This window comes from Homo sapiens, chromosome 9 (genome assembly GCF_000001405.40).
Source record: "Homo sapiens chromosome 9, GRCh38.p14 Primary Assembly".
In the NCBI taxonomy this organism is placed as follows: Eukaryota; Metazoa; Chordata; class Mammalia; order Primates; family Hominidae; genus Homo; species Homo sapiens.
The window spans coordinates 62,068,061-62,083,979 of NC_000009.12; the positions used below are offsets into that span (position 1 = coordinate 62,068,061).

Below are 15,919 nucleotides of genomic sequence, written 5' to 3' on the forward strand. Positions count from 1 at the left end.
AATTGTCCCAGACTTGTTGGATTCAATCAAGGGTTTTAAGGCTGCTCTATTGCATTTCCTTTTACCATAATATCATATATACACTACCATAGGGAGAGACGCAGCGTAGCTTACATAATGAAATGACTTTACAGCTAATTTGATTCTGCATTTGAAAACCAAACAATTCTCAACATTTATGCTTGTTCATCTTCAGCACAGTTGTTGCGTGACTAAGTTACTTATGAGGAGGTCCGGAGTTCACGTTTAGGACAAGTTCTACTAATTCTGGTTCATACAAAACTTTCCAACCTCTGAGCTTTGTTTGTTTGTTGTTTACTTTGTGTTTGTTTTATCTTTAAAAACTGTAACTTTTTTTTTTTTTTTTTTGAGACGGAGTCTCGCTCTGTCGCCCAGGCCGGACTGCGGACTGCAGTGGCGCAATCTCGGTTCACTGCAAGCTCCGCTTCCCGGGTTCACGCCATTCTCCTGCCTCAGCCTCCCGAGTAGCTGGGACTACAGGCGCCCGCCACCGCGCCCGGCTAATTTTTTGTATTTTTAGTAGAGACGGGGTTTCACCTTGTTAGCCAGGATGGTCTCGATCTCCTGACCTCATGATCCACCCGCCTCGGCCTCCCAAAGTGCTGGGATTACAGGCGTGAGCCACCGCGCCCGGCCAAAACTGTAACTTTTATACTATCTTTCATACTATCATGAAACAAGCAGAGCCTTGATTTACGTTTTGCATTATGCATGATTAACTCAATCTACTTTTGATAGTCCCCACTTTGGGAAGGTGAGGGTGCATAGTCCATACGTCCCCACTTGCTCTTTCCCCTCATAATGGTGACTTTTATCTGTTAACCTGACTGGGCTACGGAATGCCCAGACAGCTGGCCAAACACTCTTTCTGGGTGTGTCTGTGAGTGTGATTTGGAAGAGATGAGCATTTGAATTGGTGGACTCGGTAAAGAAGATCACCCTCACGAATGTGGGCAGATATCATCTGAACCACTGAGGGCCCAAGTAGAACAAAAAGGCGGAGAAAGGGGAATCCCTTGTTGGTATTTGGCCTGGGACATCTCTCTTCTCCTGCCCTCTGACAGCAGTGCTCTAATTCTCAGGCCTTTGGACTCAGATTTAATTGCACTGTGGGCTTTCCTGATTTTCCAGCTTTCAGTTGGCAGATTATGGAACTTCGCAGCCTCCAGAATCCCGTGAACTGATTCCTGTATATATACATATGTACACATACAAATATTTGTGTATTTATCTCTGGGACCCGATATACATCTATATCTCCTCTATTGGGTCCCTTTCTTTAGAGAACCCTAATACACTCCTATATTGATGGTCTGACACCTGTCACACATAAGAGGAAATGCTCTTTTGGGATAATTATTCATAATATACAAGTTAGAGAATCATTTATGTTTCTTAGATATTTTCATATGTGTAGAGCTGCTTTATCAATTTGCAGCCCTGGTGGGGAGCCCAGAGCAGAGCCCCGGGCTGGCAGAGCTGGGATCGGGGTACAGATGGGCTTGCAGGAGCCTGGCCACTGGCACCGCTGCTGGGCCTCAGCAGTACCATGCCCTGTTCCCTCAAAGCCACATTGTCTTTTGCAGAGGTTGCCTCCAAAGAAGGTATTTTCTTATGAAGTTTTATGCCTTTGTAAAAGTTGTAAAATATACATGATAGAATTTACCATTATTATTTATTTATTTATTTTGAGACAGAGTCTCTGTCGCCCAGGCTGGAGTGCAGTGGTGCAATCTCAGCTCACTGCAACCTCCACCTCCCGGGTTCACGCCATTCTCCTGCCTCAGCCTCCTGCGTAGCTGGGACTACAGCCACACGCCACCACACCCAGCTAATTTTTGTGTTTTTAGTAGAGACGGGGTTTCACCCTGTTGGCCAGGATGGTCTCCATCTCTTGACCTCGTGATCCACCCGCCTCGGCCTCCCAAAGTGCTGAGATTACAGGCGTGAGCCACCGCGCCTGGCCAGAAATAATTTGTTTCTTTATCACTGAGGACCATCTCAAGTGACAGGGCTCCAAGCTTTTGCTCATGTTCCGCTGCCTTGGAATCCAAGGGCAACTGCGGCCATGGTAGCCTATTTTCATCAAAGTCAAATGGCATCTTGTCGACAGAGGTGAGGGCCTGCAAAGTCCTACTACACTCAGGACAGTCAGTCCCCTGCTACAAAAAAATTATCAGGTACAAAATATCAATAATACTGAGCTAGAGAAACTGAGTTCTAAGTGAAATGGACAAACCTTTAATAGTAGTGACCTGGCCTGAAACTTTAATGTTTCTTTATTGTTTTAAACTTTCATTTGGTTGACTATAGGAGCAGCAAACTGTTTTGCCATTTATTTCTGATGCTTTAACTGTACAATGTTCCCCGAAATGTTTACACTTTAATTCTTGCCAAATTTGTTGTAGCCAACTTTAACCGTGGAATGACATATTTAGTCCCTCAACACTGTCACTTGAATGACACATGGCAATGGGTCAGCCACTTCTTGGAGCAGCACCTGGAGACCAGGGCATTTCCTGTTGCAAACAGTTTCCTACTGACCTTTGTGGGAAAGAAGAAAGAAAACCCAAGCCGGGCACGGTGGCTCACACCTGTAATCCCAGCACTTTGGGAGGCTGAGGTGGGCGAATCACCTGAGGTCAGGAGTTTGAGACCAGCCTGACCAACATGGTGAAACCCCGTCTCTATTAAAATACAAAAATTAACCGGGCGTAGTGGCAGGCGCTTGTAATCTCAGCTACTTGGGAGGCTGAGGCGGAAGAATCGCTTGAAACCAGGAGGCAGAGGTTGTGGTGAGCCGAGATCGCGCCATTGCACTCCAGCCTGGGCGACAAGAGCAAGACTCCATGTCAAAAAAAAAAAAAAAAGAAAAAGAAAAGAAAACCGAGGCTTGGATTTTTAAATCTTCAATTGTGAGTGAAATTTGCATCATTACTCTGTTATAGTTCCACTTACGATTTTTAGAATAAATAAAAACAACATAAAGTGTTTTGAGAAACATAAAAATATTACAGACATATACACAGATGCAGTGATGCAAATGTAAAGATGATAAAGTCCAATCGTCAGAAAAGTCGTAAGTGGAATTAAGGCAGGACACAAGCAAGATTCACTGGTCCCTGAACAGCAGGGAGCGATAGAGGTGTCTGAATACCTTTGGGAGTCCACATCCCCGGGGTGTGGGTGACAGGCAGGCCCTTCATCCCCGGGCAGAGCTGAGCTTGTTCTTGTCACATTTAACCTCAGTCCTCTGATAAAGCCAGAACATACAATGTTTTTATCTGCCCATTCAGAATCATGTAAGTGCAGGTTTTTTTAAGTAATTATGAGGGTGAGTGAGACTTTCACTGTAATGTTTGGTAAGTAATGAGGTGATTCAGTTTTATGTCCATCTTGATTTGAGGAAGAGAGAATGGTGAGGGAAGCATTGGGACAGGTTCATCTGGAACCACAGACACTTAAATGTAGACAAGCCTTTAATGATGCCTGGTCCTCGCTTCCTCCCAAATGCAGGTATGTATTACATCTCTGTTGGCTGTTCCCCTAGAATCAGCTGTAGCTTTTCCAGTGGCCAGGAGCCCTGGTCCCCGTTACCGTTGCGAGGCTGTCTTGCATTATTGGGCACTTTGAATGCTTAAAACTGGGCTTCTGGAAAAAGAGTCAGATTCACCTGGATCTGGATCTGGCAGGTGAATGTCACAGTCTCTAACGACCTCCTAATTCCTGTCTTCTCTCTTTCCTTCCTTTTTTTTTTTTTTTTTTTTTTGAGACGGAGTCTCCCTCTGTCGCCCAGGCTGGAGTGCAGTGGCACGATCTTGGCTCACTGCAAGCTCTGCCTCCCGGGTTCATGCCATTCTCCTGCCTTAGCCTCCCGAGTAGCTGGGACTACAGGTGCCCGCCACCACGCTCGGCTAATTTTTTCATATTTTTAGTAGAGATGGGGTTTCACCATGTTAGCCAGGATGGTCTCCATCTCCTGACTTCGTGATCCACCCACCTCGGCCTCCCAAAGCGCTGGGATTACAGGCGTGAGCCACCACGCCCGGCCTGTCTTTCCTTCTTTTAATCTTTCTACACATGAAAAGGCGTCAGTAGCCCCCACCATCATGTATGTCACCTGGGACACCCTCAGTCTGCCTTTGTTAATGTCAGAGCCAGGAACGCAGGGAAAAAACTATTTTCTGAGATACGTTTTTGTGCAGAGAGAAGAGACTTTCCATGTATATTGCCTTTCCTGTAATATTGTCTGTTCAGGTAGCTGTGTGCCATATCCAGGTAGCTGCATGCCCTCTTCCCTGTTTTAGCACTGGTTGATACTGAGTTTATGGTTAATTAGTAAATGTGTTAAAAAATTTTTTGAATTTTTTTTCAAAAATCAGCAAGCACAAATATGTACCTAGCATTTTCCAAGGATATGGGTATGGAAAGATAAAATGCCAGAACTTACAATTTAATTAGATATTAGTGCAAATGATCGATACACTGCAATGTGGTAACTGTGTAACAGATATTAATTGCACCATCCAAAATTCAGTATGTTAAAAATGGAACTCTTCAGGTTATCATAGGAATGTTGCTTGACTCTTATGCCCAGGGCAGACTGTGAAGCATCCATTCCCCTAAATCCAGGGCAGTCAGGTAAGGGGCCTTCTTATCTCAGCCACTTCTCCACTTCCAGCCCAGACTCTTGCTGTATTAACCTCTGTTTCTCCGACACAGCAGACCCGGAGACTTTTTACCTCCTTTTTTTGTGACTCCTCCCCACTCTACCACAAGTAGGGTTGCAAGATTTAGAAAATGAATATTTAAGACACTCAGTTAAATTTGGATTTTAGATAAATGACAAATACTGTTAATTAGTATAAGTATGTCCCAAATATTGCATTGCATTTTATTGTATTTTTTTTTGTAGCAGCCGTACCCTCAAGAACTGCACCTTCCAACCACCCTTATATGAGCCTGCTCCAAAACCTTGCCAGCCAGCACTTCCAGGTTACGACTATTGACCTCCAGCTCCCAGTTTCAGGTGAGAGGTGAGACCCAGTCCCACACTAGCATGTCATCTTCGTGGAATCCCAAAAGAGACAATATATAGAGGACAGGATTTTTTTTTTTTTTTTTTTTTTTTTGAGACGGAGTCTTGCTCTATCGCCCAGGCTGTACTGCAGTGGCGCGATTCTTGGCTCACTGCAAGCTCCACCTCCTGGGTTCACGCCATTCTCCTGCCTCAGTCTCCTGAGTAGCTGGGACTACAGGCGCCCGCCACCACACCCCGCTGATTTTTTGTATTTTTGGTAGAGACGGGGTTTCACCGTGTTAGCCAGGATGGTCTCTATCTCCTGACCTTGTGATCCGCCCGCCTCGGCCTCCCAAAGTGCTAGGATTACAGGTGTGAACACCGAGCCCGACCAAGGTACGGCCTTTTTAAAGCCCCCTCCCCTGCTTCACACCCAGCAATGCGCCTGCTTTAAGGGTGTCCTTGTTTTTGACAAACTCACAATCTCCGCCTCCACAGGTTTCGGGCGCCCCTGGTGGTTGCACTTTGCCAGTAGCTTATGGCAACCCACCAGGTTTGCTGATGCTGGACTGGCATTTACCTGTCAAAGTAATTTAAACCATAAGATTTATTCCCAAATAGGGGGGGAAACAGATAAAATGGGAGAAGGGCATGGTTGTGGGTTTGGACTAATCAGAACAAGATTCTAAATTTTTATAAAGAGAGGAGATGGTACTGCAGGAAAGCCCTGTGAGTCTCCCCTGCAAAATACCCACCTAGACCTGTTTTTGTTGGTGGTTGTGTGTATGCCTTCTGAAACAGTGTGTCTCCACAGCCAAACATGTGCTGGGATGCAGGAGATGCTTAGGCCACCTTGATCAGTGATGTCTGAGGCTTCCCCAGGCTGTTTAATTCACAGCCTCCCTCCTTTATGCTCCCCCAGATTCTCTTTCATTTAGATTGTGTTGACTCAGCTCAGGGGATGAATATATGTATTTGCCAACATTATTGAGTTTGCTAATTAAAAAGCACTGAAAGAAAACTTACTTTCCCTCTGCGTTTGGTGACTTTTACCCCTAGAACTCTTCTTCTTAGGAAGCCTATGACAATGAAGATACTATAAAAACAAGGGTCTTTCCAATTCCCTTCTGCTGTGTCGTGGAGCGAACACTCAACCTGGAGTCTAACGTTCTTAATTTCTGTCCCAGATCTTTACTGGCTGGGTCTCTGCACACTTCTCAGTCTCCTAGAGTCTTCAGGTTACTCAATCAAAAAATGTTCTAAACTAGTTGTTATAAGAGTGCTGAACACATTGGCTGGTTCACTCACACAATAGATTTGCCTGACAACTGTTCACTAAACTGTATATCTTAGTGCAGTATGTGGATTTAACTGGTGGTGTTGCTGATGTGTCAAAATTTTGAGCACGTTCCAGCTTTTCATTGTTGTTATTTTCCATCTTCCATTACTTTGAAGGGAACATGTTACAGGACACAAAGAAATACTAAACTTGCAAAGCATATGAATAATAGCAAATGTGATTATTATTTATTTACTTATAAAAAGATGATAGATTACTTCATGTTCTGCTTAAAGCTACTTTTTGCATTTGGACCATTTTGAGTAGCCCATATTCTGCCAAAAATTATAATTATAAAATTAGTGAATCACGCAGAAAACATTGGAACTAAATTATTGACACGGCTTTGGAAAGGTGATATCCAATCTTATATGCAAATTCCAGTTGTCTTCCATTACTCTTGGGATCTTTCAGCAGATTTTTGCCATCTGTGTAGAAGCTGTTATTGAATTTTCTTGCTGAGATTATATAATTTCTATTCAGAGAATTAAATTCCCCATTACACTGTATTTTGTTTCTCTACAATATAAATGGAAAATTATGTAACAGGGAATTTATACATTTGTTTTGCACCTGTGGTATTTAAAATGTGGCAGGCATTTAGAGCTGTCATAAAGACCCAGGCCGAAAATGCTTTATTGCATATGATTATCCTTCTCTTACTACTTTTGAAAAGGAATGAAATACAGCCATTTTAATATTCATGTGTTCCATCCAAACAGAGGACTGAATAATAAAAGTGGATAACTTATATTTGCTTCCATTACAAATAGTTTTATCTTGCCATCTTCAGTCATTGTTTTCGGCTTGCATTGTGATACTATGAAGTGGATCAGAAAATATACTTCCTGAGTGCTACTTGTTAAACAAGTGTATGAAATGTGCTTGACCCTGCTCTGTGCAGTAGAGCATTTCAGACTAATCACAAACTACTGAGTGGAGTCAAAGCAGCAGCTCAGACTGCTTTCTCTGCAAAAACTGGAGATAAAGTGTTGGTTAGAATATAACGTTTAGCTTCTCATGTTGTAACTAATGGTAGGCCTGGTGGAGTGGTTAAAATATAATGAATCCAGTACCAATGGATTCCAGAAGTATTTGATACCCATCTAATATAACGCTGCTCAAAACATTTTGATGGGTCTCTAGGGTCTAATGAATAAACTTCCAACCTTAGTCTGGTCCTTGTTATCCGACTTATGCTGTTTCTTTCTTTCTTTTTTTTTTTTTTCAGAGAGTTCTCCCAGTCTCCTGGATCACACTGGTCGGAAAGCTGTTTGGTAGACAACCTTCGAGTCTTTCTGCCTTCATACTGTGGGTATACCGTTCTCCCAACTGAAAACCCGTTTATTTTCTTATCTGTCTACTCAAAGCCTAACCAACACCAAATGGCCTAGAAATGCCACGTACCTACCAGTTGCCTCTTTCCTCCTCCAGCCCTTGTGAATGTGAATTCACATCTCTGTTCTCTGTGTTCCTTGGCCACTTAGTACCATTCACAATATCTCTCATAGCTAGCTCTCTGCCTTAGGGCTGGCCCATGGGACTAAAATTCCTTGTGGTAGGTATTTTTTTTTCATATTTCTATTCTTATAGCATCTAGCATAGAACAAACAGCCTAGTATCTAGTGGGTATCCAATAACAACTTATGCAGGTGATTAGGCAAGAAAAAGAAATAAAGCCTATTCAAATTGGAAAGGTGGAAGTCAAATTGTCCCTATTTGCTGGCAACATAATCTTATATATAGAAGAACTTAAACACTCTGCCAAAAATCCATTAGATGTGATAAACAATTCAGTAAGGTTGTATTGTATGTATCAAAACATCCCTATGTAACCCATAGAGATGTATAATTATTTTATGTTGATCAAAAATAAAATAATAAAAGCTCTTAATAAAACAGTCATCTCTTTCAGAATTCATGGTTACCATTGCCTCTAGTATTATTTGTCAATTAAAAAATAAAATTTAAAAAGAATTTAAAGAGTTGAATGCAGTTTAAAAATGCATGCAGGCCGGGTGCGGTGGCTCACGCCTGTAATCCCAGCACTTTGGGAGGCTGAGGTGGGTGGATCGCCAGGTCAGGAGATCGCGACCATCCTGGCTAACATGGTGAAACCCCGTCTCAACTAAAAATACAAAAAAAAATAGCCAGGCATGGTCACAGGCGCCTGTAGTCCCAGCTACTCGGGAGGCTGAGGCAGGAGAATGGCATGAACCTGGGGGGCGGAGCTTGCAGTGAGAGGAGATCGCGCCACTGCACTCCAGCCTGGGCGACAGAGCGAGACTCCGTCTCAAAAAAAAAAAAAAGCATGCAAGTAAGGAAGGATCGTGTGAGGGTAAGGGTGCAAGTGCAGCTTTAAAGATATTAGTAAGAGAAAAGAAGAGGGCGTATAGTGCATGCTGTGACATGGGATGACAGCTTGCACTGAGAGAGCATGGATCTATATTTTTACTATATACTCTGTAATTGAACATTTCAGCTTATTTGGATTGTATTAAGCCACTTTATTATTTGAATGCTCACAATTTCCTTCTAATTTCAAACTTGTTTGTGGACCTGTAAAAAAATTCTTTTTTTAAATGCACCTGTTTAATGACACAGGACACTTTTCATTTATGCATGGTACACTGGTAGCCCAATCTGAAAGTACTATTTTCTACACTAAACTTTTTTTTTTTTGAGCCAGAGTCTTGCTCTGTTGCCAAGCTGGAGTGCAGTGGCGCAATCTTGGCTCACTGCAACCTCCACCTCCTTGGGTTCAAGAGATTCTTCTGCCACAGCCTCCCGAGTAGCTGGGACTACACACCTGTGCCACCACACCCAGCTAATTTTTGTAATTTTAGTAGAGACAGGGTTTCACCATGTTGGCCAGGATGGTCTCAATCTCTTGACCTCGTGACCTGCCCGCCTCAGCCTCCCAAAGTGCTAGGATTACAGGCGTGAGCCACTGCGCCTGGCCTAAACTATTTTTAAAAAGAAGTAACAGCATGCCTCTACTTATGTAAAAGCAAACATATGTTTTGACGGTGGTGAAGTTGGCTTCTGTTAACCCAACTTCTAAAGAACTAAATTGGCCAAAAGAGGAAAAAAAAATGCTTATTTTATTAAATTTAAATTTAGTAAATGCTTATTTACTACATTGACTTGAGGGTTTCAGACAAATAGCTTAGTTAGTGGTTAGATCAAGAGGCTTTATAGAAGAAAAGCTTAATGGTGCTTATTTATAAAATGAAAAAATTAGTAGTTCTTGGCCCTGCCTCATCTGTTTCTCAAATTTGTTGGTTATGAAAGATCTGACTGAAATCCACACCATCTGGCTTTTAGTGCTGGGATCCCAGCACAGGCCAGTTTAGCCATCTGCTTCTGTCTCTGACGCCACATACAACAGAGAGTCTTTTGTCATTGTTGTTGTTGTTGTTGTTGTTGTTGTTGTTTTGAGACGAAGTCTTGGTATGTCTCCCAGGCTGGAGTGCAGTGGCACGATCTCTGCTCACTGCAAGCTCCACCTCCTGAGTTCACGCCATTCTCCTGCCTCAGCCTCCTGAGTAGCTGGGACTGCAGGCGCCCGCCACCACGCCCGGCTAATTTTTTGTATTTTTAGTAGACACGGGGTTTCACCGTGTTAGCCAGGATGGTCTCGATCTCCTGACCTCGTGATCTACCCACCTCGGCCTCCCAAAGTGCTCGGATCGCACCCAGCCCAGAGCTGCATTTTCATACACCATTGAAATCAGTGAACCCTCACCGTGTGATGAGAATGCTGGATGAAATTTTATGCTGAGTGAGGGAACAATCTGTTGAAAATAAAGGTTAGAAATGTGTAGTGTCCTATCGTGTCAGTGCCACAAAAAAGATGGGGAGTCCTGCCACATGGTGGAATGGTGCCACATAAGTCAGAGCAGGAAGCGAGTGCAGAAGGACCCAAGTGACTGGAGAGATGATTGCAAATGCAACAGAAATTCTAGGGTTCATCGGATGCTGTGGCTATGCTTAAGAAACCAGCCACTCAGCTAAGAAAACAACAGTGAGAAATAACACCGTTACAGTGGATTTATTTCTCTGCTTAAATGACTGCCTTGCAGAAGAGCTGTGATCTTTTGATATTTTTTGGCAAACAGCATCAAAAACAAGATATATGGAATCAACCAACAGATCATGTATCACTGTGCTTGTACTGGTAAAACTCCGTGTACTTACTCCACGTCTACCGTAGTAGATTGAGAGATGGTCATCCAAAGATCTCAGATTCTAATCCCTGGGACTGGGAAGTGTTCCCTTGTTTGGCAAAAGAGTCTTTGTAGACGTGATTAAGTTAGGGATCTTGGCATGAGGGGATGAACCTTCTTTATTCAGGTGGCCTTGAATTATGATCACAAGTGTCCTTATAAAAGAGAGGCAAAGGGAGAAAGCACAGAAAGGAGAGGAGGAACTTAAGTGCCCATGGAGGCAGAGACCGCAGTAATGCAGCCACAAGTTAGGGACGCCAACAGAAGATGGGAGGGGCAAAGAACCAGTCCACCCCCGTAGACTCCAGGAAAAGTGTGGTCTTGCCAACACATTGATTTTGGAATTCTGGCCTCTAGAACTATGAAAGTATAAATTTCTGTTATTTTAAGCAGCCCAGCTGTGATACTTTGTTAAGCAGCCACAGGGACTAATACCCCTACTATGTGCCACTCACTGTGCCAGTCCTGGGGAAGATTTAGGCTGGAAAAGCATGGCCTTTGCAGCATTTTTCCCCCACCAGTGCTGAGACAATATGTTGAAAAGACTGGGAAAATGTTATAATGTATTCAAAATACCAGATGAGAGCTTTCTGTGTACCTGTCACTATGCTCAGCTCCAGAGATGGGATATGAACAAAATAGGCCCAATTCTCTTCCCTCTGTGCCGAACTTACTTTCTGTTAAGTACAAAATAGGGCTTAATGCTATGAAAATGAAGAGGAGTGACAACATTGATGTCAACCAGGAGGATCAGGGCAGATTTTAAATATGATGTGGCTGCAGCAAGAGTGTGTGCGCATGGGAACAGGCATTCCAAACGAAGGAATCACTGCTAATACAGCTGCAAAGTCTGCAGTGCCTTTGGGAAGCCTTGACAAGATGAACGTGTCAGAGAGCAGGCATTCAGTCTTTAACACAGCCTTTCCACATCGGCCTATAAAATTGTATTATGATGTTTCTTCATTTGGAAAACTAGTTTTAAAGGTTGCATTTTGATGAGTTTGCAACATTCAATTTCATGGAATCCAAATCGCATGCCCTTTGGAAGAGGTGCCATATGTGAATGCACCCATAAAGTGCACGCATGCAGCGTTTGTTACGTGGTAGGATCTCATGCAATTTTAAATGACTCTCATGTTAAAAAATGCTTCTATTGGCAGGGGGTGGTGGCTTACACCTGTAATCCAAGCACTTTGGGAGGCCAAGGCAGGTGGATCACCTGAGGTCAGGAGTTTGAGACCAGCCTGGCCAACATGGTGAAACCCCGTCTCTACCAAAAATACAAAAATTAGCTGGGCATGGTGGTGGGCACCTGTAATCCCAGCTATTTGGGAGGCTGAGGCAAGAGAATGTCTTGAACCCAGTAGTTGGAGGTTGCAGTGAGCCAACTTCGTGCCATTGTACTCCAGCCTGAGCAACAAGAGCAAAACTCCATCTCAAAGAAAAAAAAATGCTTCTATCACTCTTAGCCTTGTTTTACTTCATACTCTGGTGGTGGGCAGGTTTGCTACCTTAAATATGTCCTAGAAGCTGAATCCAAATACTTTTTGAACAATTTTCTGACTTCCTTTAGAGAAATGTACTGTCAGAGTACTATGTATAATTTTTTAAATACAGCTACCCTGAAGACTTATAAAAGTCTGGTTGTTCAGGCAGTAATTTATTTACAAATTCATGAAAATGAAAACAGTTTATGCAAGCAACCAGCTCTGGGATGCCTCATCGTCCTTTGCAAAATTATCCAAATCATGATGAAATAGGCTTTATTTTTATGGATTAAACAGAGAAGAATGTCTAATGAATTGTCTAGAAATTGAAATACGCACCTTTTATGAATAGGGACATTTCATAAGACCATTCTGTATTGTGAGTTAGGAATTCAGATCAGTTGAAGCATTAAAAAAATCAAACCTTCTGCAGCTCATTAAAGCATAAACCTAATTTTTAGAATTTATCCGATTAATATAGTAAGACCTCCACCTGCTTAGAATAATATTAATACTTGGCCTCATTTACCTCCAAGAGGGGGATAGGCCCCTGACCAATCTTCCCATTTCACCGAGGACAGACACTTCCCTTGAATCAGGTGGAGGTTTTCCAGTCATATTTGCAACACTGTTTAATGCTCAATTGCCCTATTTCTTTCCTCTGTGAAGTGAATACAATAACTTAAATGAAGGTTGTTTGAAACTCCTACTATTGGGTAGGAGTTTGCAACCTGGTTACTATGATCAGAGCTATAATTTTTTTGTTTATTATAATTAGGTTTTTTGCAAGACTAAAATTGTGCTTCTTTTAAAGTGCTGAAGAATTTCCAGGCTTGTCAGCACTAATACGTATTCTAATTGCAAAAACAGACACGAATATCAACCCAGGTGCATAGACCTCATAGTGTCAATCAAATCTCATCAGAAACTACTTGTCTTGCAGGAGGAAGGGGATCCTAAAATCTTTTTTTTTTAAGGGAAATTTTTTATCAATTTGTATTCTTTATGTCCTTTCATATTGCCGTTTACCATAAATGAAAACCATGAGAGGAACTTTTAATAATAATACACATCTGATTATGCTTTTATGAATATACAGAATATTAAATTTCAAAAGGCTTTGCTTGAGTCCCAAATGCAATTTCTAAAACATTAACTAGCCTACTCAGAATCAGGTAGAAATGGTGCAAATGAGCTCTTTTTATCACAGGCATTATTTCTTGAATAAACTCTTTTTTGTTTCCTAAACTTCAAAAAAACTGTAATTTTATTTTCAACATTCATGAAGGATAAGTCAAATCCTGTCAGTGAGTGAGTCCAACGGTTTCCATGAAAGGAGGATGTGGTCACTTTCATGAAGAAGCCAACTGAGGAAGGCTTTTTCTTGGTTCAATCATTTGATGTAATGATTCAGATGAAAGCACGTAAGTTAGCCTTTCTTTATACCTGCTTCATAAAGTTTGAGACTGCTAAATTACCAAGATAGGACAGTAACATAAGATTATCTTCTTCATAGCATACATCACTATTTAAAATTATTTTATATATTTACTTATCTGTTATTTTCTGTCTTGCCCACTAGGATATATTGTCCATGAGATCTTGTCCTGTGAAGTCTTTCCTGGCACATAGTAAGTGCTCAATAATTGTTGCATAAAGGTGAATAAACCAATAAATGAAAGAACTTTTGCACATATTTGTATGTTACTTGTAACACATTTTGTAATTTGTCTGTTAATACTGCCTTCTCCCTTTTCTCTGACATCTTTGCAAAGGAAGTTATCTAGGGCAAAATAAATTGCAATATAAACTGTCATTAATTTGCACTAAGTCCTGTAAAACCTGTTTGCTTTTTTGTGTTTGGTCCATCAGCCAGCAGATCTTTTTTTTAATTTTATTTTTTATTTTATTTTATTTTTTTTTTTTGAGAGGGAGTCTCGCTCTGTCGCCCAGGCTGGAGTGCAGTGGCCGGATCTCGATCTCGGCTCACTGCAAGCTCCGCCTCCCGGGTTCACGCCATTCTCCTGCCTCAGCCTCCCAAGTAGCTGGGACTACAGGCGCCCGCCACTACGCCCGGCTAATTTTTTGTATTTTTAGTAGAGACGGGGTTTCACCGTTTTAGCCGGGATGGTCTCGATTTCCTGACCTCGTGATCCGCCCGCCTCGGCCTCCCAAAGTGCTGGGATTACAGGCGTGAGCCACCGCGCCCGGCCCAGCCAGCAGATCTTAATGAAGAGAGCTAATTGCAGAGTTTTCTAATAACGGGTTTTTACCGTATAGTCAGACTCAGCCCCTTTTCCATGTTACATTTTCTGCTGAATATCTACATTACTGCCTTTAATAGGCAGTGCAAAGCCTTAATGAGATGATTTATTTTGAAGTGAGTTTTAAAAATTCCTGGGTATTTAGACTCTGGCTTATTTTTTGCCACCTAATTGGTAGGAGTGAGTAGACAGGTATTGCTAATGGTACTTTAAATGACTATCAGGATCTGAAGGATGAATTGTATTAATTATTCAAATTGGAAATATTTCTTTGAGATTTTAAAAATCATATTGAAAGTCAATGGTAGATTGAATCAATATGCAAATTTACTTTACATATTTTTCAGTTCAAGTCTAATAAATAATGTACAACTCTTTTGGCATTGTGTACATTTATAGAGACATGTCAATGTCTTCATGTCTTTTATTATTACTTATTAAAGTAAAGCTGATGGTGATATCAAAATGTCACCTATGTTTGTTTGTTTTTTTCTCTTGGTATACATTTGAAGCCTTTCTGGCCAACATCCCTCAATGTACCTATTTAACCTTCCAGGTATTGCTCAGTCAGTTACAAATATCTGGCCTTTCTTTTCAGGCTTTATATTCTAAAATACTTTTCTAGTGAGAAGCAAAAAAAAAAAAGAACAAAAAACCTCACTAATTCACTGTGGTATTTAGTTGGCATAGAACAAACAACCAAATTACCTGGCATGTGGCAGCTGGTTTATAAAAATGTAAAGTAGGTACTAGACATCATTTGAAAGTTTAGGCACATATAAATTTTGTCTTTAGATTATACAATATTTTTCCATAGGTATATGGTATATACTGAACTTATTCACATGATTTATTCCTTGCTATAATACTTTTCATCTAATTTGGCTAACTGGAGGAGGAGAGTGCCTACTGTGAATGCCTACTGTGTTCTGTGTTCTAGGCTAGAAACTTTGCATTCATTATTGAACACTCATATCAACTTTATGTGAAGGCAGCATTATTTACTGAAGAAATTAAGGCTCAGGGAATTTCAATTTCTCCATATTCCATACTGAGTAGTCAAGCTGGGATTGCTAGTCTGCTATTTGTCTGATTCTAAAGTCAGTGTTCTTTTTTAACACAGTCAATTGGAAAAACTCTCATTAACACAGAGATTTTTCTCTCCATCTTTTAAAGTTTTTACTCCACCACTGCTCACTATGAACTTATTATATTGGAGTGGATGCAAAATAAAGTGCCAGAAATGACTTGTAGAACATGGTCTCCTTGCTTTCCTCCTTATAATGAATAAGTGATGGGATTAAATGGATTCGGTACTTTTGGGCCCAGAGGAAGTATCTGGGAATTTGTTAAGAAATAAACAGAAAGTAGAGAGTGATGTCAGTAAAGTGATAGACTAGGAAGCCCCAGGCTTCATTCACTCACAGATAAACTGACTTGACAACAATAAGCCTTTATGAGAACTCCAGAAAGTAGTTAAGAAATCATTGCACCTCAGGCAAGCTCAAAGCCAAGAACAGCCACATTATAATGAGTAAGAAAGGTTATTTTATTTCAAC

The 15,919-nt window shown here is 41.4% G+C and overlaps 1 long non-coding RNA gene across 1 annotated transcript in view; it reads left to right on the plus strand.

The window, feature by feature from the left end:
• LOC107987008 (uncharacterized) overlaps positions 1–15,919 on the plus strand; it is a 69,179-nt gene that overhangs the window by 39,685 nt on the left and 13,575 nt on the right. Inside the window, exons 2-4 of the long non-coding RNA XR_001746516.1 lie at positions 4,937–5,050; positions 7,612–7,691; positions 13,679–13,727. This is a non-coding gene — a long non-coding RNA (uncharacterized LOC107987008). The remainder of the gene's footprint in view (positions 1–4,936; positions 5,051–7,611; positions 7,692–13,678; positions 13,728–15,919) is intronic.